Source organism: Homo sapiens, chromosome 15 (assembly GCF_000001405.40).
Source record: "Homo sapiens chromosome 15, GRCh38.p14 Primary Assembly".
NCBI lineage: Eukaryota > Metazoa > Chordata > Mammalia > Primates > Hominidae > Homo > Homo sapiens.
Window position 1 is genome coordinate 54,523,729 of NC_000015.10, and position 26,889 is coordinate 54,550,617.

The 26,889-nt window shown below is 36.3% G+C and overlaps 1 protein-coding gene across 7 annotated transcripts in view; it reads left to right on the forward strand.

Annotated features, from left to right (window-relative positions):
- The window catches only part of UNC13C (unc-13 homolog C), a 795,839-nt gene that overhangs the window by 686,127 nt on the left and 82,823 nt on the right, over nt 1–26,889 (forward strand). For all 7 annotated transcript variants that reach the window (XM_047432538.1, XM_017022220.2, XM_017022221.2 and 4 more), the window contains 4 exons: nt 1,821–1,909; nt 9,189–9,338; nt 22,994–23,117; nt 25,907–25,963. In XM_047432538.1, the coding sequence (XP_047288494.1) occupies nt 1,821–1,909; nt 9,189–9,338; nt 22,994–23,117; nt 25,907–25,963 (420 nt within the window). The remainder of the gene's footprint in view (nt 1–1,820; nt 1,910–9,188; nt 9,339–22,993; nt 23,118–25,906; nt 25,964–26,889) is intronic.

Genomic DNA, 26,889 nt, shown 5'->3' on the forward strand with positions numbered 1-26,889 from the left:
CATTTTAAATAAGAAGCAACCCCCATTTCCTGAAGGAAATACTGCTTTCAGAGCGATTCCCTTGGAGGTGGTAGAGGTATGGGTGGGGAACTACCACCCATGTGAGCAGGAAGTGGAGAGCCTGAAGAAAGCCACATGGCAGAACTTATCTCTCATTCCCTCTTCCCCAACATTTTTATCAAATGAAATCAAGGTAAAATTGTTATTAGCACAATAACAAGAAAATATCATTTAAAAAAATTCAGCCTGCATGATTCCTTAGGATTGGAGTGGAAAATCCACATATGTTTTCTTGGTTAGGGGTTAGGGAGTTATAGTTTGTTAGGCAAATTGTGATTAAATTCATTATCCATATTTTAAGTCTTTTTAAAATAAGTATGTACTATCTAATTGTCTTTCTGAATTACTTCCCTGCAACTGGTTTTAGCTGAATAGAACTCTAGAAAGTATGAAGCTCACAGATATGTTAATTTTCTCACTCTTATAGAAGTCTCTATCTGTTATGATATGTTAATTTTCTCACTCTTATAGAAGTCTCTATCTGTTATGGTAGCCTGTGTGTCTGGACAAGAGCTGTCACCATAACTGATTACTGAGACAGAAGAAAAAAGATACAAGGAATCCAGAAAAATCACATTGCCTCTGATAGAGGGCAGAAGCTAACCAATCCTGAAAGTTAGGCGGACTTGAGTTAAAACTGATATAAAGGATTGGTTTGATATAATTAATAAAGTCTCAAATGCCAAATGCAATATTTGATTTTCATTCCAATGTTTTTAGTCACATCAGGACAACTTAGAGCTACCCAGCTGCAGAGATATGTAAATAATTCTTCTTCCTAACAGTTCCTTAGTATCAGAAAATAGTCTTGGAGGATTATAGGACTTATGTCCAATGCACCCTCATAGGGATACTTCTTGGTTCTGTATCGGCTCCCAGGAGTTTAAACTGATATTAGGTCCTATATTTAGTTGGCATTCTTAGATTCTCTTACTTATACTAAGTCATGCTTTAATTTGTTTTACTCCCCAAACTTGGCTTTATCCTGTCCTCTTCTTTTCAATAGTAGATCAGCTTGGGCAAGAACTAATGATATTAATGGTAGGAAACTAAATTTCTAAAGGTAGAAAGAAAGAGTCACGTTCCAATTTCAGAGAATATTTCAGATTGCTATTTACGTGAATTTCTCTCTGCTTGATACAATAGACCTATTATCCTGAACTTTCAGCTGTAAATTAGCAACCAGGAAGAAAAGTCAGGACTATCGTCTCCAGAAAAACATGGGCGTGCTTGGATACCTTGTCTATCCTATTACTCTTAATTCCAAAGTTGGGGAAATATGAAAACACCTTTAAATAATGCACAACACAATATTCAAAAGTTAATTTTTAACAACTTTTATTCTTAATGTGCCTATTTATTTACAGGGATATTAAAGATTTAAATAAATTTTGAAGCAACACATATATTCAGCTGAAGTATAACAGGTTTTCTAAATTACGGAATTATCATGTTCTGGAGGATATTTTTGTCATGCCTTGCATCTCATTGCTATAACCAACAAAGGCTTTGTTATCTAGCTGTTACTTGTATGCATGCCCTGCATTTCAAACAATTTTTTGTATATGAGAACCCCTTGGTTTCTTTAAAGTTTCCTAAATGTTTAGATTTGATTTCAAAGACCAAAAAAAAAAAAAAAGAAGAGAAAAAAGCTTACATGTTGTTTGAAGTTACCATATAATAATCAAAATGCTTGTAAGCAAAACAGAGGCATGCTTTCTCAAAACTCCAAAGTAATATTGTTTATGGTCTCTCTGCAGCTAGATTCTGAAGCTAGTACTATTCTAAAAGAACTTCAGGTTAAGCTCAGTGGGGTCCTGGATGAGCTCAGCGTCACTTATGGTGAAAGGTAAGTGGCCTCTGTTGTCATTATCTAAATTAGATAATTAGGTGTCAGTTCATGATATTCTTGCCTTCAATGCTGTTTCCTCTGACTGACTAAATCTACTTAACTTCAAGACCCAATCTAAATGTCATTTTCTCTGAAACATCTGTTATGACCCCACAATCTAATAGTGCTATCTTGCTATGCACTCCCTAGAACTCTGTGCATCCTTCGGTCGGATAACACCTATAACACTATCCTCAGAGTTTTGTTTTACCTGTCTATTTCCCACACTCAGGACAGAAACCATATCTCACACCTATATGCAGTTCTAGTGTTTAGAGCTGGGTGACTGGCTATTGAAAGACTAAAGACAGGGAGGGAAGAAAAGAGAAAAACTTCACATATATAAGAAGTATGAGTTGTATTCATACCATGCATATCAGTGTGGTTGCCGTCAGTATAGCTGGATCAACAACCCTATACCAAATTGTCAGGATTCTTGGTTTTAGGGCCTAGCAATCTGAATACAACTACCCCATGGGAAGGAGTTTGGAAACTATTGATATATCTATATATTTTAAATGTTTGTTAAAACTGGCTTTATCTGTGATATGAATCTAAAGAAAGATAAGTTCACCCTAGTTAAATTTCACTTCAGTTCTGTAGGAAAAATCTATCACCTCATCAAAATGTTAAAATAGCTAGGAAAGAAAATATATTTTTGAAGAGGTTCATTAATATAGAATTTGCTTTAAATATTAGTTAAATAACTGATGTATTATTTTAAACTATGTGTTCAATTTTCAAAAGAGACTATAAAGATTGCTCTTCAGGGCCGGGTACGGTGGCTTATGCCTGTAATCCCAGCACTTTGGGAGGCTGAGGCAGGTGGATCACGAGGTCAGGAGATCGAGACCATCCTGGCTAATACAGTGAAACCCCGTCTCTACTAAAAGTATAAAACAAACAAACAAAAAAGTAGCCGGGCGTGGTGACGGGCACCTGTAGTCCCAGTTACTCAGGAGGCTGAGGCAGGAGAATGGCGTGAACCCTGGAGGTGGAGCTTGCAGTGAGCCGAGATCGCACCACTGCACTCCAGCCTGGGCAACAGAGACTCCGTCTAGAAAAAAAAAAAAAAAAAAAAAAAAGATTGCTCTCTTCAGGTAGGGACTATCTCTGGCCACCACTCATCACCTGTTGTTGTGTTTTAGAAAGATCCACTATTAATAAACATTTATCAATTAGTTATGCCATTTTTTAAATAAGAAAGACAAAAGACTCTGAAAGCATCATATTTTTCTTCTTAGATGTAGGAATAAAGCAGAGTGAAGAATAATCTCCCACTTAGCCTTCTCTTCATTATCAGAGGTGTGTCTGTAACTTCCTTAAGCAAGGTGGCCTTGTCTTCATGGAACTCACCTTCAGGGCTCAGCTGCTGAGCCAGAGCAGCCTTGCTGTGTTGAGCCAAGGGTAGTCATTCTGCCTCTGCAGTGTTGTTAGCTGATTGGATGATCCTGCCTACTTCACCGGGATGTTAGTCAGCAATTTCAAGGTTCTGTTTACCTGAAGTTGGAGAAACATAGATTGTTCCAGAGATGTAGGGTTCATTGGCTCTGACTTGGGGTGACACTGAGAGATGAAGAGGCCTTTGCTGAGCCATTTCAGGTGTGTCTCTCTTTGTTCTAGTTGCAAATTAACATGGGGTTAGCAGAAAGACTGTTGCCTTCAGTCACAGAGGCAACATTAGAGACTATTTAGCAAAGTTAGGGGGAGGAAAAAAAAGAGGTCAGGAATAGCTAGAGTTGTTCAGAACTTTATGGAAAATAAGATGACTAAACAGAGTAGAAACTAGAATATAAGTAAAGTATATTTAAATTATTTTCTGTAAAATATCTAAATCATTCTGATGATAAGTGCTTTTTGTTTTGTTTGGGGAGGTGGAATATTCAGGTTATAAAGGCTAGAATATGTTTTCTGATTCGAAAGATATCTGGATAAACCACAGTTATGAAAGAAGGAGTAGTATCCTTAGGAGGACACTTGAAGAGCTTTATTTGTATGAAGCCAGCTATTTTAGCCTAAACAGTAAAACCTGCGGCTACCCAGAATCCATTTATTATTGATTTTTTAAATATAGGAAAGAATTTAGTACTCTGTTCAATTAGGGTTTATTAGGACTATTGGAATAAATGGGCTACATGTCATGCTTTCCTAATAAAAAATATAATTATTATATCCTTGTTGCTATGTTGCTGTGGCTTTATTCCTCACACTACCAATCAGGTCTATATTATACTGTCAGGGTAGAAAAGTCTACAGTAATCAATGTGATCATGCTGTGAAGTCACAATGCACAATTTTAGTCTGAACCTACTCTTCTTAAGGTCTAAATTGGCAGTGTAGAGTTTTAGAATTAAGTGCATAATTAATTGTAAAAAATCCACTTGATTTTATGTTATTAAAACTCATAATTAAATAATTCTACTATATGCAGCTGTTAGGATGTCTTTGCTGTAAAGTCAGAGCTGAGCCAAACCACACATTTGTGGAATCCTGACATGCTCACAGGGCACCTACCTGGGAACTGAGACTAAGTGATATAACCTCAACAATAACTTGAAGATGGTCTTAAAACTTTCAAAAGGTGTGCCACTAGGGTTTCTGCTTACACATGTTTTGCAGTTTGGTTTTTGGTTTGCTCCTTTTTTTTTTTTTTTCTTATTAACCAACACCTTTAGTACTAGAGGCTGGCTAGATTAAGTAAACAAAAAAATTCAGGAATATTTCGTAGGCATTATTTTGTGAGTGTGTGGCTCCTTGGGTGCTCCGAAAATCTTTAATTATTTACTGGCACTACTTTTATTCAAACCAGTTAATACAGGCTTTTTTTAAACCTTTTCTTTTTCTATTTTTCTTTTTCTAGTCTATTCTTTTTCTATTTTTTCACGTAATAGGAGCATAAATAAATTTCACATAATAGGAACATAACTGTCACACCCCTTGTCCAGTCTGTCCCCCCACCCCAATGCTCTAATTTGAAAATTAGTGCAAAAGAAAATCAGTGCAAAATCAGTCTATCTCCCCACCCCAATGCACTGATTCGAAAATCAGTGCAAAAGAAAGTAGTCATTTCAAAGGTGATTTTGACTACAGCCAGCAGGATCATGGATGACCCCGTGGTAAATCAACTAGTTCAAAATATTTTCAGCATGATTTGCCTTCCTCTTCTATTGCCCCAAGTATCTACTACCTTTACTTTGATTCAATACACACTCCACCACAAACAACATCCCCTTCATCATTTTCCCCACCATCTCTTGCAACCTCTACCTGACAAAAGTGCAAAGGCAGCTTCAGCCAGATAAAAGTGAAATAATCAAGGATTTAGACTCTCTTGGATGACAGCTTGGAAGAGAATGTTCCTTTAAAGCAGATAAATATGCAGAGAGCCAAGAAATGAGACAAATTCAAAGGGGCCAGCTGAGATGCAAGGATCAAGGAACCAAATGTAAATGCCAAGCCCAGAGGGGCAAGAATGGTGTTGTCAACAGTAAAGAAATCCAAGAATTCAGGAGCCAAAAATGGAGACAGATCAAACCTGATGGTAGAAGTGGAATCAGGCCTTAAATATGTACACAAAATTATGAACAAGTGTATGTATAACCCTGCTATTAAAGGCCCAGAAGCAAGAAAAACATCCAAGTTGTGATAATTTAACATTTATTAAAATTTTTCCATATTAAGCATGGAAATATGTATATGGAAAACCAAATATGGAAAACCAAAAACTAGAAAAATGAAATACTTAACAAGATGTCAACTAAAATATTTCCATAATGTAAATGCTAAAATACAAGTTCTCATATTTGCTCTAAGAACAAAACACTGTGCCTGTTCTGTTCATTGATATATCTTCAGCACCTAGAACAGTGATTGGCACATAATAGTTTAGTAAATATGTGGAGAATGTATGCATGAATAAATAAATGTGTATACTTTATTTAATAAAAGCATTATATAGTGAACATTCCTAAACTTCTACTTAAAATCTGAGGAATTTATGCACTTAGATACTTCTCAAATACTAACTGTATCATCATTGTGTGTGGAGGAGGAGAGGAGTGGGAATGACTTGACTGCAATACTAAAATGAATTCCCTCCTTCTCCTCATTACCATTCCAATCATTTGACCATTTTCCAAGCTTTCATTGATCTTCATTCTCCTAAGTAGTTTTTCTTGCCTGCCCACACATTTGTTATTATTACTCCTATTGCTGGAAACATGAGAATAGCAGACAATATAGAGGAATGGTGGTGATGCTAACAGTCTCCAAGATTTGAATATCTTACTACTTGCCATGCTTACTTAGGTAAGAACCATCAAAACTGGTGTAGGGGATATACAGAATGAAAAAAGCAATACGAAATATTGCTCTTCGTGACATTTAAATCCTTAGAGTGGGTGAGGCAATAGAGGTAGGTGGAAGGAGATGGTCCATTGATGCATTCAACACATATTTCCTTTTTAATAGCTTTATTGAGCTATAATTACCATGTAAAAATTATGTATATTTAAGGTATACAACTTTGTTTTGATATACATATCCATTATAAAATGATGGCCACATTCCAGATAATTGACGTATCTATCACCTTCATGGAGTTGCCATTTGTGTGTTTGTCTGTGTGCATGTGTGTGTACTGAGAACATTAAGATCTGTCCTCTTAGCAAATTTCAAGTATATAATGCAGCAGTTTTAACTACTGTCCCAATATTTCCTGCATAACCTCTTTGTGCCAAGCATGGCATCCTGTGCCATGGTATGGGCATGCAGCACTAAACAAAACAAAATTCCTGCTCTCATGGGGCTTACATTATAGGGAGGGAAACAGGCAATAAGCAAATAAATTAAATTATGCAGTGCGTCATATAATGAAGAATGCCATTGAGAAAAAAAGAACAATAAGGGAACAGAGATGGATAGGAATGCCATTTCAGCTTGAGTGAACAAGGAAGATTTCTCTGAAGTGATATTTGATATATGCCTGAAATTAACGAGGGACCAAGAGAGCCATGAGAATTTCCTTCCATGGCAGAGGGAATATAACAGTGGCCATGAGATAAGAGTGTCCTCAGAGAATTCTAAGAACACCAGGAGGTCTATTGTGGCTGGTGCAATGAAACAGAAGGAAGAGTGGCAAGAAATGAGATCAGTGAGATTGCCAGCGCCAGATTATGCTGGGCTTTCAGTCTGTCAAATACAACTAGAGTTTTTTCTAAGTGGAGTTGGAAGCTATTGAAGATTTTTAGCAAAGGAGGAACATGATCTGGTTTTTATTTTAAAAGGCTATCTGTAGAGGGTTGAACAGAAGCAATTTAGGAAATTATTGCACAGGTTCAAGTGGGAGGATGGTAAAGGGGTCTATAGTGGCATTTTCGGAAGTAATAATAAATCCTCAGATTTAGGATACATTTCGCTGACAGGTTGGATGTTGAGTATGAGAAACTCATCAGACTTTGAAGTGGAAAGATTGCATGGGCAGTTAAATAAAATAGTCTGGAGTTTGGGTTAGAAGTCAGGTCTGCAGATGTGAATTTGAGAACCACCAGTATATAGATGCTATGGAAGCCATGGGACTAGATGTGATTGCCAAGAAAGTGACTGCTGATGGAGAAGTGAAGTGGTCCAAGGATGAAGCCCAGAGGATCACAGTGTAGGATTTCCAAACAAAATACAGAACACCCTCAGTTAAACTTGAATTTTAGATACATAAGGAATAATTTTTAGTATAATTGTGTTACAGATATTACATGGCCATGTTTGTACTAAAACTATTCACTGTCTGAAATTCAAATTTAACTCAGTGTCCAGTGCTTTCATTTGATAAATATGGCAACCTTACTCCAATGGTTAGAGGTCAGGCAGTTGAGAAGGAGCAGCCTGTGAGGTCAGAGGAAAGCCGAGAAGGTGTGGAGTCACAGAATCCAAATGAAGAAGGTGTATCCAGATGCCAAGAGTGTTTCTTTTTTTTTTTTTAACAACAAATTTTATTGAAATATAATTCACATACCATAAAATTCTCCCATTTCAAATACGCAGGTGAGTGGTTTCTAGCATATTCACGGAATTGTGCAACTCTCAGCAAAATCTAACTTTAGAACACTGATATCACCACAAAAAAGAAACCCTATACCCATTAGCAATAAGTCCCATTCCACTCTCCTTTCCAGCCCTAGGAAACCACTAATCTCCTTTCTGTCTCTATGGATTTGCTTATTCTGGATATTTTATATAAATTGAGTCATACAATATGTGGTCTTTTGTGACTGGCTTCTTTACTTAACACAATGCTTTTAAGCATATGGTTGATTTATATGGTGGCAGTGGCAGTACTTCATTTTTCTTGTAAATTTATGTTATGTTCAGGGGTATATGTGCAGGTTTGTTACATAGGTAAACTTGTGTCACAGGGGTTTGTTATACACATTATAATACATCATCCAGGTATTAAGCCTACTACCCATTAGTTGTTTTTCCTGATCCTCTCCCTCTTCCCACCCTCTGCCCTCCAATAGACCCCACTGTGAGTTGTTCCCCTCCACGTGTCCATGCGTTCTCATCATTTAGCTCCATTGTGGAAGACAGTGTGGCAATTCCTCAAAGACCTAAAGACAGAAATACCATTTGACCCAGGAATCCCATTACTGGGTATATACTCAAAGGAATATAAATCATTCTACCATAAAGACACATGCATGCATATGCTCATTGCAACACTATTCACAATAGCAAAGTAAGGCATCAACCTAAATGCCCATCAACCCTAGACTGGATAAAGAAACTATGGTACATATACACCATGAAATACTATTCAGCCAAAAAAAGGAACAACATCATGTCCTTTGCAGGGACATGGATGGAGTTGGAGGCCGTTATCATTAGCAAACTAACACATGAACAGAAAACCAAATACTGCAAGAGTCTTTTTAGAGCAGTCATTTTCCCAAACCGTGCTCAGAGGAACATCTCAACTGTGACTATCAGAGGTGGGGACTGAATGAACCTCCACTCAAATTAATTCAACCTGAAGAACAGCACTTTTATCTGCCTTACTTATAAGTATTACACGTAAGCTTTCATTGGAACAAAAATTTTTGCAGTTAAACATTGAATTCGAAAACTCATGAGCAGGGGAATTCACACCAGTTGAAACAGATCAAAATCCTCAGGGTGAAATTGGAACAGGCTCAGGCAAAATGTATTCTTATATTTTAGAATTTATATTCTTTATTTTTAGTTTCCAGGTTATAATTGAAGAGTGTATAAAACAGATGAGTTTCGAACTAAATCAAATGAGAGCAAATGGAAACACCACATCTAATAAGAACAGTGCAGCAATGGATGCAGAGATTGTGTTAAGATCTCTTATGGATTTTTTGGACAAAACGTAAGTTTTTTTGCCCAGTTTTCTCTTTACTTATTGCCCTAAATTTGACCTTTAAGGCTTTAAGAAAAACATTGTTTTCCTCTGTGTAAGGTAGCATTAAAAGTCTTTCTATAGAAATAAATGAATTCAAAGATAAATAAATAAATTCATTAAAAAGCAACATACCTTTAATTGATTACTAGATAAAAATAAATTAGGAATGACTTTGTACAAGAAAGGAAAGAAAGAGGGGAAATAAATTTTATAACTAAGGAGGTTGCTGTTCTGAGGCAGAGAAAGATTTAGAACTTCATGTTCCTTGGATACCATATTGTTTTCAATCCTCCTGGACATAGAGAAAGACTGAGCTGAGTCCAGAATAGCTGATTTCATGTCAGAAACCTGATGAAAAAGAGAATAGCACAAATATGACTAGAATTAACTTAGCTCAGAGGCAAGCAGATAGCTGCCTGACCCAACCTTCAATAACGATTTATTGAGTGCTCACCTGTATCAAACCATATTTTACACACTGGACAGTGAAGAAAAAGAAAGCCGAAGTCCCTGATACCATGGAGATTACAGTTTAATAGTGGTGGGAGTGCATGGGAATGCAGGCCATTATGACTGACTAAGACAAATTCTTAACCTGAAAGTTTGGTTGGTTGCTCTGTTTGTTTTTAAGGTTTTTGTTCTGTTCCTACTCTTAGAAGTTCTAATTTAGTAAGTTTGAGGCAGGGTCAGAGCACCTACAATTTGTAATGTGTCCACAGTTGGGATTGGGAATCATTGATCTAAAGCAACCAGAAACATGATTTCGTAAACAGTGATACTCAAAACCAGAACTGAATGTACAAGAGAAAAGTGAATAATAATTTTGAATGCCTACCAAGGGACCAGTGTCATATATGTTAGTTTACATAATCTCATTTATTATTGTTGTGGCAAACTAATATCAAAAGGACCAAGATTTAAATAAAAGAAAAATTACAATGTCTTTCCTTAAAGACAAGGACAACAGTCACCCCACTGTGCTGCTGCTGCCACCAGCACACGTAAACACCACTGCATCGCTGCCACCAGCCATTGCCCCAGCAAAGTGCTTTGGCCAGCACTCTCCATCAGACTGTTGTTACCAGAAGACCAGGAACACCTTCGCCCCTCCAGTGCAGCAGGTGCTTGTCCTTGAGGAGACAGAAAACAAAGTAATGGGCCTGGTACCAGGCCCCAGGGTTAGGACATGCAATCCAGGAATGCCAAGTTAAGCCTTGGCCCCCTGAAATCTTCCAGAAATGAAGCCAGTTGACTTTGACTGAACCCAATATATACCACAGTCAAATCCTCAAAGCCTCAAAGGCATGAAAGAATATAAAAGCAAAAAAACACTATTCGAACAACAGCAACTTAAAAGATTAAAGGAACATTAGCCCATGCAGATGAGAAAGAACCAGCATGAGAACTCTGGCAACTCAAAAAGCCAGAGTGTCTTACTACCTCCAAACAACCACACTAGCTACCCAGCAATAGTTCTTAACCAGGCAGATGTGGCTGAAATGACAGATAAAGAATTTGGCATCTGGATAGGAAAAAAGATGAAAATTCAGGAGAAAGTCAAAAGCCAATCCAAGGAACCCAAGGAATCTAATGATACAAGGGCTAAAAGACAAAATAGCCATTTTAAGAAAGAATCAAAGTGGTCTGATGGAGCTGCAAAACTCACTATAAGAATTTCCTAATATAATCAGCAGTCTTAGTATCCAAGCTAAGTTTTATAAGCATAGGAGAAATTATATCCTTTTCAGACAAGCAAATGCTAAGGAAATTTGTTACCCTAGACCTGCCTCTCAAGATGTCCCTAAGGGAGTGCTAAACATGAAAATGAAAGATCAATACCTGCCAACACAAAAATACGCTTAAGTATATCAACTATAGGCACTATAAAGTAACTACACAATCAAGTCTGCATAACAACCAGCTAAAGACGCAACAACAGGATAAAATCGCACATATCAATATCAACCTTGAATATAAATGGACTAAATGTCCCACTTAAAAGGCAGGAAGCTGTCTTTAAGAGACTCATCTCACATGCAATGACACCCATAGTCTCAAAGTAAAGGGATGGAGAAAAATCTACCTAAAAAATGGAAAACAAAAAAGAGCAGGGGTTGCTATTGTAACTTCAGACAAAATAGGCTTTTAACAAACAATGATCCAAAAAAACCCAATATCATTATATAATGATAAAGGGTTCAATTCAACAAGACTTAGCTATCCTACACATATATCCACCTAACACTGGAGTATCTGGATTTATAAAGCAATTTCTTAGAGACCTATGAAAAGACATAGATAAATACACAATAATATCACCATCCCACTGAGACAGATCACTGAGGCAGAAAACTAACAAAGATATTCAGGACCTAAACTCTACACTTGACCAAAAGGATCTAACAGACATCTACAGGATACTCAACCCAACAAAAACAGAATATACATTCTCCTCATCTGCACTTGGCACACACTCTAAAATCAATCACACAATCAGCCACAAAACAATTGTCAATGAATTCAAAAAATTTGAAATCATACCAACCATACTCTCAAACAACAGTACAATAAAATTAGAAATTAATACTAAGATGATCTCTCAAAACTATACAATTACATGGAAATTAAGCATTCTGCTCCTGAATGACTTTTGACAATGAATTTAAGACAGAAATCAAGTAATCCTTTGAAAATTGTAAAAGAAAAGGTATAACATACCAGAATCTCTGGGACATAGCTAAAGCAGTGTTAAGAAAAAAGTATATAGTGCTCAACATCCAGATCAAAAAGTTAGAAATTATCAATTTAACAACCTAGAAAAGCTAGGAAAACAAGAGTAAATCATAAACCAACCGAAAAGCCAGCAGAAGAAAAATCACCAGAATCAGTTGAACTGAATCAAATTGAGAGATGAGAAACCATACAAAAGATCAGTGAAACAGAGTTTGTTTTTTGAAAGCATAAATAAGATTGGTAGACCACTAGCTAGACTAATAAGGGAAAAAGTGAGAAGATTCAAATAAACACAATCAGAAATGACAAAGTGAGCATTACCACCGACCCCACAGAAATCCAGATAACCCTCAGAGACTATTACAGAGACCTCTATGCACACAAACTGGAAAACCTAAAAGAAATGAATAAATTCCCAGAAACATACAAACTACCAAGATTGAACCAGGAAGAAATTGAAACCCTGAACAGACCAATAATGAGTTCTGAAATGGAATCAGTAATAATAAAAGCCTACCAACCAGAAAAGGCCCTGGAGCAGATGGATTCACAGCCAAATTTTATGAGATGCGTAAAAAAGAGCTAGTACCAATCCTATTGAAACTATTCCAAAAATTGAGGAGGAGGTACTACTCCACAACTCATTCAATGAGGCCAGCATCATTCTGATACTAAAAGCTGGCAAAGACACAACAAAAAAGGAAAACTTCAGGTCAATATCTTGATGAACATAGATGCAAAAACCCTCAACAAAATACTAACAGATCAAACCAAGCAGCATATCAAAAAGCTATCTCAGGATTATCATGTAGGATTTATTCCTAGGATGCAAGGTGGTTTAACAGATGCAAATCAATAAATGTGATTCACCATATAAACAGAACTAAATACAAAACCCACATGATCATCTCAATAGATGCAGAAAAGGCTTTCAATAAAATTCAACATCGCCTCATGTTAAAAACCCTCAACAAACTAGGCATTAAGGGAACACACTTCAAAATAATAAGAACCATCTATGACAAACCCACAACCAACATCATACTGAATGGGCAAAAGCTGGAAGCATTCCCCTTGAGAACCAGAACAAGACAAGGATGCTCACTCTCACTACTCCTATTCAACATAGTACTAGAAGTCCTAACCAAAGCAATCAGGCAAGAGAAATAAATAAAAGGCATCCAAATAGGAAGAGAGAAAGTCAATCTCTGTTCACATATGATGTGATCGTATACATACAAAACCCTATAGTCTCTGCCCAAAAGATTCTAGATCTGATAAACAACTTTAGCAAAGTTTCAGGATACAAAATTAATATACAAAAATCAGTAGTATTTCTATGCACCAACAGCATCCAAACTGAGAGCCAAATCGAGAACACAGTTCCATTCACAATAGCCACATACACACATACAAGAAAATCCCTAGAAATACAGCTAATGAGAGAGGTGAAAGATCTCTAGAACAAGAATTACAAAATATTGCTGAAAGAAATCAGAGATGACACAAACAAATGGAAAAATATTCCATGCTCATGGATAGGAAGACTCAATATTGTTAAAATGGCTATACTACCAAAGCAACTTACAGTTTGAATCCTATTCCTATCAAACTACCAGCAATATTTTTCACAGAATTAGAAAAAAAAAATTTCAAAATTCATTTAGAACCAAAAAAGAGTCTGAATAGTCAAAGTAATCCTAAGCAAAAAGAACAAAGCCAGAGGCCTCACAGGACCTGACTTCAAACTATACCATAAAGCTACAGTAATCAAAACAGCATGGTACTGGTACAAAAACAGACACATAGACCAATGAAACAGATTAGAGAACCCAGAAATAAAGCCACACACCTACAACCATCTGATCTTCAACAAAGTCAACAAAAACAAGCAGGAAGGGAAAGAACTTCCTAGTCAACAAATGGTGTTGTTAGAATAACTGGCTAGCCATATGCAGAAGATTAAAACTGGACCCTTTCCTTTCACTGTATACAAAAATCAACTCAAGATGGATTAAAGATTTAAATGTAAAACCTAAAACTATAAAACCCTAGAAGAAACCTAGGAAAAACCATTCTGGACATAGGCCCTGGCAGTTTTTATGATGAAGATTCCAAAAGCAATTGCAACAAAAACTAAAAACAAAAAATAGGACTAATTAAAGAGCTTCTACAGAGCAAAAGAAACTATTGTCAGAGTAAACAGACATCTTACAGAATAGGAGAAAATATTTGCAAACTATGTATCTGACAATGGTCTAATATCCAGACTCTATAAGGAGCTTAAATACATTAACAAGCAAAAAAAAAAAAAAAAAAAAAAAAAAAAAAACCCATTAAAAATGAGCAAAGCATATGAGTAGACACTTCTCAAAAGAAGACATACAAGCAGCTAACAAGCATAAAGAAAAATGCTGAACGTCACTAATCATTGAAGAAATGAAAATCAAAGCCACAATGAGATACCATCTCACACCAATCAGGATGACTATTAGTAAAAAGTTAAAAAATAACAGATCCTGATGAGGTTGTGTAGAAAAGGGAATGCTTATACACTGCTGGTAGGAATGTAAGTTAATTCATCCACTGTGGAAAACAGCTTGGAGAGTTCTCAACTAACTTAAAACAGAACCTCCATTCAACCCAGCAATTCCATTACTGGGCATATATCCAAAGAATATAAATTGTTCTACCGTAAAGACACATGCATGCGTATGTTCATTGCAGCACTGTTCACAATAGCAAAGACAAGGAATCAACCTAAATAGCCCATCAATGGTAGACTGGATAAAGAAAATGTGGTACATATACATCATGGAATACTACACAGCCATAAAAATGAATGAGATCATGACCTCTGCGGCAACATGGATGGAACTGGAGGCCATTATCCTTTGTGAACTAACACGGGAACAGGAAACCAAATACTGCATGTTCTCACTTATAAGTGAGAGCTAAACACTGAGTACAAATAGGCACAAAGAAGGGAACAATAGACACTAGAGCCTACTTAAGAGTGGAGGGCGGGAGGAGGGTGAGAATCAAAAACTACGTATTGGGTACTATACTTGTTACCTGGGTGACAAAATAATCTGTACACCAAACACCCACAGCATGCAATTTTCCCATGTAACAAATTTGCACACGTGCCTTCTGAATTTAAATAAGAGTTGGAAAGGAAAAAAAAGTTGGATATTCTTCCAGGTAATTAAACTTATTTAGTGCATTTCTTTTTCTTTCCATCTAAATTTTCCCACAGTCATAATTATAAAATATTTAAATAGGTAAGGATAAAAAAGAAATAACTCATAGGAAAATATCTTCTGTATACTATGACTTCTGTTTTAATTCCATTTACCTTTGGTTGCCTTCTTACTACATAAGTCTAATGTTGTTATTTATTTAATGTCAATATTTGGTAGGAAAATTAAGCCTTATGTTTTGTTCTCTGTGGGGAAATATCTAGAAGATAGGTATATAGGTAAGTAGATAATAGGATGTAGGTAGGGAAGTAGGTGCAGAAGAAAAGCAGAAGAAAGGAGAGAGGAAAGGGAAGAAGTAAAGAAAGAGAGAAGGAGAATTACTTTTCCTCATTTCTTTAGTTAGTTAATGTAGACTTTCACTTTTACAACATAATTTTCTATACATTCTCTGGACATTTTTATCTTAGTATACGACTCTTTTCTATGGACAACACAGAAATGGATCACTATAAACACCCCAACATTGGTTGTGAATGTGATGGTGATGAATAGCAGGCCCAAGCGATCCCAATTCACTTCAACCTCTCACTGGAATGCCTTCTGTTTTTTAGAAGTCCAATCAGTAGTTTGGAGAAGTATTATTTATTATTAGCAAAACTATTTGCTTTCTATGTCCTGTGGCCAAGGTTGTGGAACATAACAGAAAGTTTTAAGTAATCTTGGTACTTCCAACTATTAGCTGAGTGACTTTGAATCCATTTCACCATCTATAAAACGGGGCTAATAGATAAAATGGGTTGACTCTTATTTTCAGTACATTTTGATTCTTATTTTTACTCAGTCTTACTAAAGTATAATTAGAAAATTATGTCACCATATGTGTCATATCTTTTAATTATTGGTGGAAAGAGATAACGTATAAAGTTAGGAAATAATCTATGAGCTTTAAGCATTTGTAAAAGACATTTAAAACTTTTGAAAGAAATATGTCATGGAGAATTGCAGAAATCCTCAGGGCTAATTCAGAATGCATAACTTAAAAGCCACTGCATAGGGGAGATGCTTAAAAGCCAGATATTGATTCTGTTTTCAAGGAGCTAATAGTTTAGGAGGAGAAATAAGAAAGGAATACAAATAAACGTAAGATGTAAAGTGATAATGAGTACAATATTTATTTCTACTTCAAAGAATGAATAAAAATTTGATTTGGATTGGGTATTTAAAGGTGGATAAAGTTTAGATATATGAAAATGAGGGACAGGCATTCCAAGGGGAGGGAAAACAACTAGGTAAATTTTCATGAAAATGCGATTAATTATATGACAGGAAATCTTTATTGCCAACCAATACACATGGCATTTGAAAATTGTCTGATTAATTAGTTTTGTATTCAGCCAATCTAGATAGCTCAGGTTCTAAAATATATGCTTTTCAGCTTACATTATCAAGTTGATTAATTCAGACTGAATTAAAGAGGCATTTGCTAGTTTGCCATTATTTTCTATTATTTAAAATAAACAATAGAGGTTTGAAAGTCTTCAAGGTGGTTTGAGAAAATTCCCTTAGAAATCATGTTATATTGCGAATGTATAAGCTCTTTTTGTCTTTGTGCAGCCTCTCTAAATAAAACATCTTCCTTCTTTATGTTGCACTTTCTCCACTAAGACCTTACCCCTTCACAAATTGAGGTGTAAACTGCATTTTTAACTAAAAGAAATCCTACGAGCTGCGCACGTGACAATGATTTTATTCCTATTTTTTTAGTTCCGGTCTAAGCAGGGTTAGTCAGCATGCCAAGTATGTGAGCTGACCGTAAACACAAGATTAATTCTTAGACTTGGATCTTTGGAAAGTGGAAATTGTACATCTGCAGCAAAATTGGCAGAGTTGTTGTGTCTCCAATCATACCAGGAATTTTTCTGTGGATAGCCTTTGTTATTCTGCCATGACACATCTGCTGTTTTGTACCCTATGTCCATGCCAAATACTCACCAGCAAGCTAAAAATGGTACCCCTGAAAAACAGTTTTCAAATTACAGGAGCCGGAGTTCCACATACATGCCTCAGGGGTCCCCAACCTTCCTCTTTATCCAGAGAAGGTTGCTTTCACATATTTTTATATATTGGGCTTTTACATACACAGTGTTAGGATAAATACTTTAACATAAAAATGTGTCTTGAAAATCTCTGTATATGCCTCTCACATGTCACATGCCTTTCAATGTTATCCACTGTAATTATATAAATACAATTATGTATATCTTTAAATATTAAAAACAGCCAAATGTGTCTGTCATGACTAGAGCCCAGGTTATAATTTCCGAGTCCAAAAGCATACAGAGTAGCATTATAGGGAGTCAATGAGGCTGCCCTGAAATATATGACCCATCTTTGGCTCTCTGTGAAACAGGTTTAATTCACTTAGAGACTCAAAGAGGCCAGGGTCATATGATAGTATATTTAATAGATACTTAGGCAGCACTGTGTCTTCAAATAGGCTGGAACATCCTGCATAAGCACATTCATCAGAGGTAGTATGGGACATTGGAAGACAGGCTGGATTTAGAAGAGTCAAACTTTGAATCTAACTTACTAGCTTCACTTCCGTGGACAAGTACCCAAGCCTCTGTGCCTGTTTTTGAGTTGTAATATGGGTATACTAGTAAATGAGAAATATATACAGAAGAAGTTTCTAAAGAATAGCTTGTATAGGTATTATACAAATGCTAGATAATGTTACATCATTATGTCACCATGAGAAGAATTTGTAAGGAATACCTTACACCTATTAAAATAGGTAAATTTTTATTCTTGATTGAAATTATATACACCTTTGCCATGTTGTTATGTTGGTCCAGTGCCCAGTAGTGCTGAAAATGTATTTCCTTGGTGTTCCTAGACCATGAACATTGGCGTATACTAAATACACATCGGGGTGAGGGTGAAAATCGTGTGCTTTGGGAGACTGACTCCACTGTGGAGAATGGTCTGCCTTCTGCTGCTGTAACATGGGTGAAAAATATGGGTTCCGTTGTCCTTTTCTCAACTGTCATGCCAAACCTAGGTGACCGATATCAGAAATTGCTCTAGGTTTAATAAGTCTTAAATATGAATAAAAAGGGATCATTTGCCTTTAAAGATATTTTACTTTGTGTGCTTTAAAAGTTATTTTTCATTGTTTTCAAAGAACTTATTTATTTCTGCCTTGATTTCGTTATTTACCCAGGAGTCATTTAGGAGCAGGTTGTTCAGCTTCCATGTAGTCATGCGGTTTTGAGTGAGTTTCTTAATCCTGAGTTCTAATTTGATTGCACTGTGGTCTGAGAGACTCTTTGTTATGATTTCTGTTCTTTTGCACTTGCTGAGGAGTGTTTTACTTCCAATTATGTGGTCAATTTTAGAATAAGTGCAATGTGGTGCTGAGAAGAATGTATATTCTGTTGATATGTGGTGGAGAGTTCTGTAGAAGTCTATTAGGTCCACTTGGTCCAGAGCTGAGTTCAAGTCCGGAATATCCTTGTTAATTTTCTGTCTCATTGATCTGTCTAATATTGACAGTAGGGTGTTAAAGTCTCCCACTATTATTGTATGGGAGACTAAGTCTCTTTGTAGGTCTCTAAGAACTTGCTTTATGAATCTGGGTGCTCCTGTATTGCGTGCATATATATTTATATTAGTTAGCTCTTCTTGTTGCATTGATCCCTTTACCATTTTGTAATCCCCTTCTTTGTCTTTTTCGATCTTTGTTGGTTTAAAGTCTGTTTTATCAGAGACTAGGTTTGCAACCCTTGCTTTTTTTGCTTTTGATGTGCTTGGTTAATATTCCTCCATTCCTTTATTTTGAGCCTATGTGTGTCTTAGCACATGAGATGGGTCTCCTGAATACAGCACACTGATGGGTCTTGACTCTTTATCCAGTTTACCAGTCTGTGTCTTTTAATTGGGGTATTTAGTCCATTTACATTTAAGATTAATATTGTTATGTGTGAATTTGGTCCTGTCGCTATGATGCTACCTGGTTATTTTGCCCATTAGTTGATGCAGTTTCTTCATAGTGTCAATGGTCTTTAGAATTTGGCATGTTTTTGCAGTGGCTGATACCAGGTTTTCCTTTCCACATTTACTGGTTCCTTTGGGAGCTCTTGTAAGGCAGACCTGGTGGTGACAAAATATCTCAGCATTTGCTTGTCTGTAAAGGATTTTATGTCTCCTTCACTAACGAAGACACAACATACCAGAATCTCTGGGACACAGCTAAAGCAGTGTTGAGAGGGAAATTTATAGCACTAAATGCCCACAGGAAAAAGAGGGAAAGATCTAAAATCAACACACTAACATCAAAATTAAAAGAACTAGAGAAGCAAGAAAAACAAATTCAAAAGCTAGGAGAAAAGAAGTAACTAAGATCAGAGCAGAACTGAAGGAGATAGAGAAATGAAAAACCCTTCAAAAAATCAGTGAATCTAGGAGCTGGTTTTTTGAAAAGATTAATAAAAATTGATAGACTACTAGCAAGACTAATAAAGAAAAAAAGAGAGAAGAATCAAATAGATACAATAAAAAATGATAAAGGTGATATCACCACTGATCCCACAGAAATACAAACTACCTTCTGAGAATACTATAAACACCTGTATGCAAATAAACTAGAAAATCTAGAACAAATGGATAAATTCCTGGACACATATACCCTCCCCAGACAAACCCAGGAAGAAGTCAAATCCCTGAATAGACCAATAACAAGTTCTGAAACTGAGGCAGTAATTAATAATGTACCAACCAAAAAAAGCCCAGGACCAGATAGATTCACAGCCGAATTCTACCAGAGGTACAAAGAGGAGCTGATACTATTCCTTCTGAAACTATTCCAAACAATAGAAAAAGAGGGACTCATCCTTAACTGATTTTATGAAGCCAGCATCATCCTGATAACAAAACCTGGCAGAGATACAACAAAAAAAGAGAATTTCAGGCCAATATCCCTGATGAACATCGATGCAAAAATCCTCAATAAAATACTGGAAAACCAAATCCAGCAGCACATCAAAAAGCTTATCTACCATGATCAAATCGGATTCACCCCAGGATCCAAGGCTGGTTCAACATACACAAATCAGTAAATGTAATCCATCACATAAACAGAACCAGCAACTTAAAACACATGATTATCTCAATGGATGCAGAAAAGGCCTTTGATAAAATTCAACAGCCCTTGATGCTAAAAAAACTCTCAATAAAATAGGTATTGATGGAACGTATCTCAAAATAATAAGAGCTATTTATGACAAACCCACAGCCAATATCATACTGAATGGGCAAAAGCTGGAAGCATTCCCTTCGAAAACCAGCACAAGACAAGGATGCCCTCTCTCACCACTCCTGTTTAACATAGTATTGGAAGTTCTGGCCAGGGCAATGAGGCAAGAGAAAGAAATAAAGGATATTCAAATAGGAAAAGAGGAAGTCAAATTGTCTCTGTTTGCAGATGACATGATTGTATATTTGGAAAACCCCATCGCCTCAGCCCAAAATCTCCTGAAGCTGATAAGAACCTTAAGCAAAGTCTCAGGATACAAAATCAATGTGCAAAAATCACTAGCATTCCTATACACCAATAATAGAAAAACAGAGAGCCAAATCATGAGTGAACTCCCATTCACAATTGCTACAAAGAGAATAAAATACCAAGGAATACAACTTACAAGGGAAGTGAAGGACCTCTCCAAGGAGAACTACAAACCACTACTCAAGGAAATAAGAGAGGACACAAACAAATGGAAATAAATTTCATGTTCATGGATAGGAAGAATCAATATTGTGAAAATGGCCATACTGCCCAAAGTAATTTATCAATTCAATGCTATCCCCATCAAGCTACCATTAACTTTCTTCACATAATTGGAAAAAACTACTTTAACTTTCATATGGAATCAAAAAAGAGCCTGTATAGCCAAGACAATCCTAAGCAAAAAGAACACAGCTGGAGGCATCATGCTACCTGACTTCAAACTAAACTGCAAGGCTACAGTAACCAAAACAGCATGGTACTGGTACCAGAACAGATATATAGACCAATGGAACAGAACAGTGGACTCAGAAATAACACCACACATCCACAACCACCTGATATTGAACAAACCTGACAAAAACAAGCAATGGGGAAACGATTCCCTATTTAACAAATGATGTTGGGAAAACTGGCTAGCCATATGCAGAAAACTGAAAGTGGACCCCTTCCTTACACCTTATACAAAAATTAACTCAAGGTGGACTAAAGACTTAAACCTAAGACCTAAAACCATAACATCCCTAGAAGAAAACCTAGGCAATACCATTTAGGACATAGACATGGGCAAAAACTTCATGACTAAAACACCAAAACCAATGGCAACAAAAGCCGAAACTGACAAATGGGATCTAATTAAACTAAAGAGCTTCTGCACAGCAAAAGAAACCATCATCAGAGTGAACAGGCAATCTACAGAATGGGAGAAAATGTTTGCAATATATCCATCTGGGCTAATATCCTACAAGGAACTTAAATCTTAGTCTACTTAATCTATAAGGAACTTAAACAAATTTACAAGAAAAAAATATCAAAAAGTGGACAAGGATATGAACAGACACTTCTCAAAAGAAGACATTTATGCGGCTAACAAACATGAAAAAAAGCTCATTATTACTGGTCATTATTACTGGTCATTTGCATTAGAAATGCAAATCAAAACCACAGTGAGATACCATCTCACGCCAGTTAGAGTGATCACTAAAAAGTCAGGAAATCACGGATGCTGGAGAGAATGTGGAGAAATAGGAACACTTTTAAACTGTTGGTGGGAGTGTAAATTAGTTCGACCATTTTGAAAGACAGTGTGGCGATTCCTCAAGGATCTAGAACTAGAAATACCATTTGACCCAGCAATCCCATTACTGACTATATACCCAAAGGATTATAAATCATTCTTCTGTAAAGACACATGCACACATAAGTTTATTGCAGCACTATTGACAATATCAAAACTTGGAACCAACCCAAATGTCCATCAATGATAGACTGGATAAAGAAAATGTGGCACATATACACCATGGAATACCATGCAGCCATGAAAAGGGATGAGTTCATGTCCTTTGCAGGGACATGGATGAAGCTGGAAACCATCATTCTCAGCAAACTAACACAGGAACAGAAAATGAAACACCGCATGTTCTCACTCATAAGTGGGAGTTGAACAATGAGAACACGTGGACACAGGGAGGGGAACATCACACACCAGGGCCTGTCGCCGGGTGGAGGGCTGGGTGAGGGATAGCATTAGGAGAAATACCTAATGTAGATGTCGGCTTGATGGGTGCATCAAACCACCATGGCATGTGTATACCTATGTAACAAACCTGCACATTCTGCACACGTATCCCAAAACTTAAAGTATAATGGGAAAAAAGTTATTTATCTTTCCAAAGCCTGTTGATTTAGAAAACAACGTAAGAAAAGAAGTATGCTGATTTCATTTTCCATCAAATATAGAGAATTATCTAATGTACAGAATCATGAAATAGTTTTTTGAGATTATACATTTTGTATAATAATTTAGTAAATGGAATTTAGCATTTGAAAATCGTAAAGGCCTAAATTGATACCTTGATCTGAAATTTAAAAGTGAATATATATATATATTTTTTTTTCAGATTAAGTCTCTCAGCAAAAATCTGTGAGAAAACAGTCCTAAAGCGAGTTTTAAAAGAGTTATGGAAGCTAGTTCTCAACAAAATAGAAAAACAAATTGTTCTTCCTCCTCTGACAGATCAAACAGTAAGTATATAAAGTTTAGTTATGCTTTCATTAACCCATCTGTTTTTGGTTTAAGTGAATGGTTTTCATCCAGATGAAATACTAATTAAATCCCTTTGGGGAAAAAGTGTTTGGTATCCAGTTTCTTAACAATGATCATTCAAATGATAGTTTCCTATCCAAGTCAATTTTAAATAATGGCAATAGCAGTCAGACTTCACGTTGCTTGACAGTCAGAACTTAACCTCTTAAAACATGTATCAAAGTTCTATTTATAGTGTTATCTGGTTTACACATACAATTTTTATTTAATTTTACCGACCTCAAGAAAATAGAATTAAGATACAATGTATCCCTGTGCTTCTTTCTTAAATTTTACAGTTTAAGGAGATAGTTACACCACTGCTATTTGGATTTTTTTTTCACCTTTCTATTATGCTTTCATCTCTTACCTCCCCACTTGGAAGTTAATAGAGGAGGCATCTTTTAGTGAATCTGAAAAATGTGATTGTATCACACAAAGAAAAAGGAAAAGAACCAGAAAGATCAATTGGCTGCAAAATTAGACACTGGTCAAGTGGATACACAGAGCCAGGTATCTCTGTTCACATATCCTGAGCCAAACAAGGGAAAAATAACACTAACAAGCACCTGTTACGGGGCAATGTATTTTTTTCTCCGTGACTGAGGAAGATAAATTGATGCAAATAATGAGTAAGTATAAATGGAAATAAAATATGCATTATTATACATTAGTTATACACACTCAGTCCATGTTTATTCAGTGAAAGCATATGCCTAGAAAACACTTTCTTATAAAGTGTTCCGAGATGCAAATATGCCTGTGTTTTTGTTGATTTACTGCCAGACAGTGAGTGATAAAATATAAATTACTTTGAGTTTCGCTTAATGCCATGAATGTGTGCTTTAATCATTTTATAGCCTACATATATATAGGTTCTAAGTCACATTTATAAATACACACACACATACACATTCTACTTCAATACATAATATATTTCCATAACACCAGTTAGCACTCATGTAGTTGTTCAATAGAGGAATGTCAGTATAATCTGGAAGTTGGGTTGGTTTATATATAAATTTCCCTAGGTCAGAGGCTCTCGAATGTAATAGAAAAACTATAACTTCAGCCGAAAAAGAAAAAGCTCTCACCTTGGCTACTTCACAGACCTGTTTTAAAAAGGAAAAAAGAGGAGAGTAACTGTACATCATGGGTTCCCTCTCTGGAAAACTGAAGCTTGCATGACTGTCACAGATTGCAGGCTACCTTTTCCCGTCTGCTGGTAGCTCCACTTGCGTGAGCATTGTCTCAGCCCACTTTTGAACTCTTGTTTTGTTGTTGTTGTTTTGTTTCTTTTGCTTTTTTTTTTTTTTTTTTTTTTTTTTTTTTGGAGACAGAATCTCGCTCTTTCGCCCAGGCTGGAGTGCAGTGGCGCGATCTCGGCTCACTGCAAGCTCCACCTCCCAGGTTCACGCCATTCTCCTGCCTCAGCCTCCCAAGTAGCTGGGACTACAGGCGCCTGCCACCATGCCCGGCTAATTTTTTTGTATTTTTAGTAGAGACGGGGTTTCACCGTGTTAGCCAGGATATTTTGCATTTTTAATATTCCTTGAGGCAACCATTAGCTTCACTGAGTTCCCTGCTAGCTGTCCAAGCCATATCCCAAAGTAGCAGTTATGGTTTTGATTGTTCTTCAAAGTAGCAATTATGGTTTTGATTGTTCTTTAGTAACAGAATTGCAAGGGCTTGGACTGTTCTGCCCATTGCTGTTTTTCCCATAAGCCCTATTATTTTTAGTGTGCAATTTTGTAGAATGTGAGGTTTTTCAAGAATGTATATATTATGTTACAGTAGAAATGCTATCTATGACATTTCATTTTCTGTATAAGGTTTTCCCTAGGAAAGCTTACCATCACCTAAAATTTCTCTAGCATTGAGATATCCAAGTATGAATACATATCATTTATTCATTCATTAAATAAATATTCTTTGAGCTCCTACTATGTACTAGGCACTGTGCTAGGTGACGGGGCAAAATATGAGCAAAATTAACCACGGTCACTATTCTCAAACTTATAGTCTTTAATTCTCCAATAAAATACACACTCCGATAAAACATCTAGATAACATTTGTTCAGAATAGCTAATTTTCCTTCCTGTGACAATATTTCAAGCTCTAATGAACTTGGCCAAATTTAGTACTTTTCCAGTCACATACACCAACAGACATGCCTCTAGTTTTTCATTCTAGTAAAGCATTGGATAGTTTATTCCAGTGTTTTTCAAATTCATTTCCCCAGGGCCTTGGGGTTCTAGAGAAAGCCTCTGGCTGAGGGAGGGGTTAAGAGGGTAGTCGCTAATAGACTGGACAGCATTTTAGAAGGAGCAATTCCACCTTCTTTAGCCCCGTATCTTCAGATTTTGCATACATTTATTTTTGCAGGGAGTAGAATGAGGAAGTTGCCTCTGCTAAAAATAAATGAATAAAAGTTAAAGATCACTGATTTAATCCATATACTACATTAAACTGGCTACATTAGTAGCAACCTAGTCATTAACCTAAACTTAAGACTTTGAAAAGTGGGACACCTATGAGGACTGTTATACTGCCAGCGGTACTAGATATATTTGACCCAATCTTTATAATAGACCAATTAAGGGCATCTGGCATAAGCCATAAGTCTTATAAGGGAAATAAAGAAATTATCTGTTGACTGCATTTCTATTGTGACTAATACTGAATATCTTAAGACTGAGTCTTCTCTCACTTTTTCTTTGTTTCTAGGGACCCCAGATGATTTTCATTGCAGCTAAAGATCTTGGACAATTATCCAAACTGAAGGTAATAAAAATAAGGAAATTACTTATTCATGGAAAGTAGTGAGTTAACTACAGTTCTGCAAGCATCCTCCTCCTAGTAATAGTATCTAGCATGGCAGGATTAAGAAGATGTGTGTGTGATTTCACAATCTGCTTTAGGAATTTTTAACTTTGTATTGCAGCATTTAGCATTATTGCTTCTGGATTAAATTAGAGAGCATATTTTCTTTCATATATTAAACTGGCTTGATGTGAACAAAGACAAAATGGAACACTGCATAGAAATCCAGTGAAGTCTAGAGAAGTCTTCAAACCAAGAAACACAGTACGGGAAAATGAAACTCATCAAAGCAGGCACTGAACTTGTCAACATGTTCAATACCATTACAAGTGGGAGATGTTCTGACTAAATGACCTTGTGCTTAGTTATAATTTGAGATTCCCAAAACACTGGATTTAGGCAGGAAACTTCAGTCCCTGTTCCTCTAGCATAGGAACTTGACTGGCTAAAATACATGCTATTTTTATTCCATTTCTACCTACTAGAATGTAGTTAAGGGATGAGTTCCAGACACAGGTAACCTTGTTTCAAATTCTTCCTCAAATGCTTCCTACTATGTGACATGGGCCAAAGTATTTAACCTCCCTAATCTTCAGATGTGGCTCTTGTAAAATGCAAAAAAAGAATAATATCAGTTATAAGGATTGTTGTGAGTGTAAATGAGACAAGACATACATTATCTTTGCTTGGTAACTGCAAAGTGTATGTCACCTCCCACTTGCAGTTGGAGCTATCTTCATTCCTCCCCCAGCTGGTAGCTCAAAGTTAGGTGCCATTGAGTATTGGATTGTTTCATATGTACAGCACAGGGGAAAAACAAAATGTATAATTATTTACTGAGGTAAAATATGTGCCTTATAATTTCAGTATTCTATTTTATCATCCAC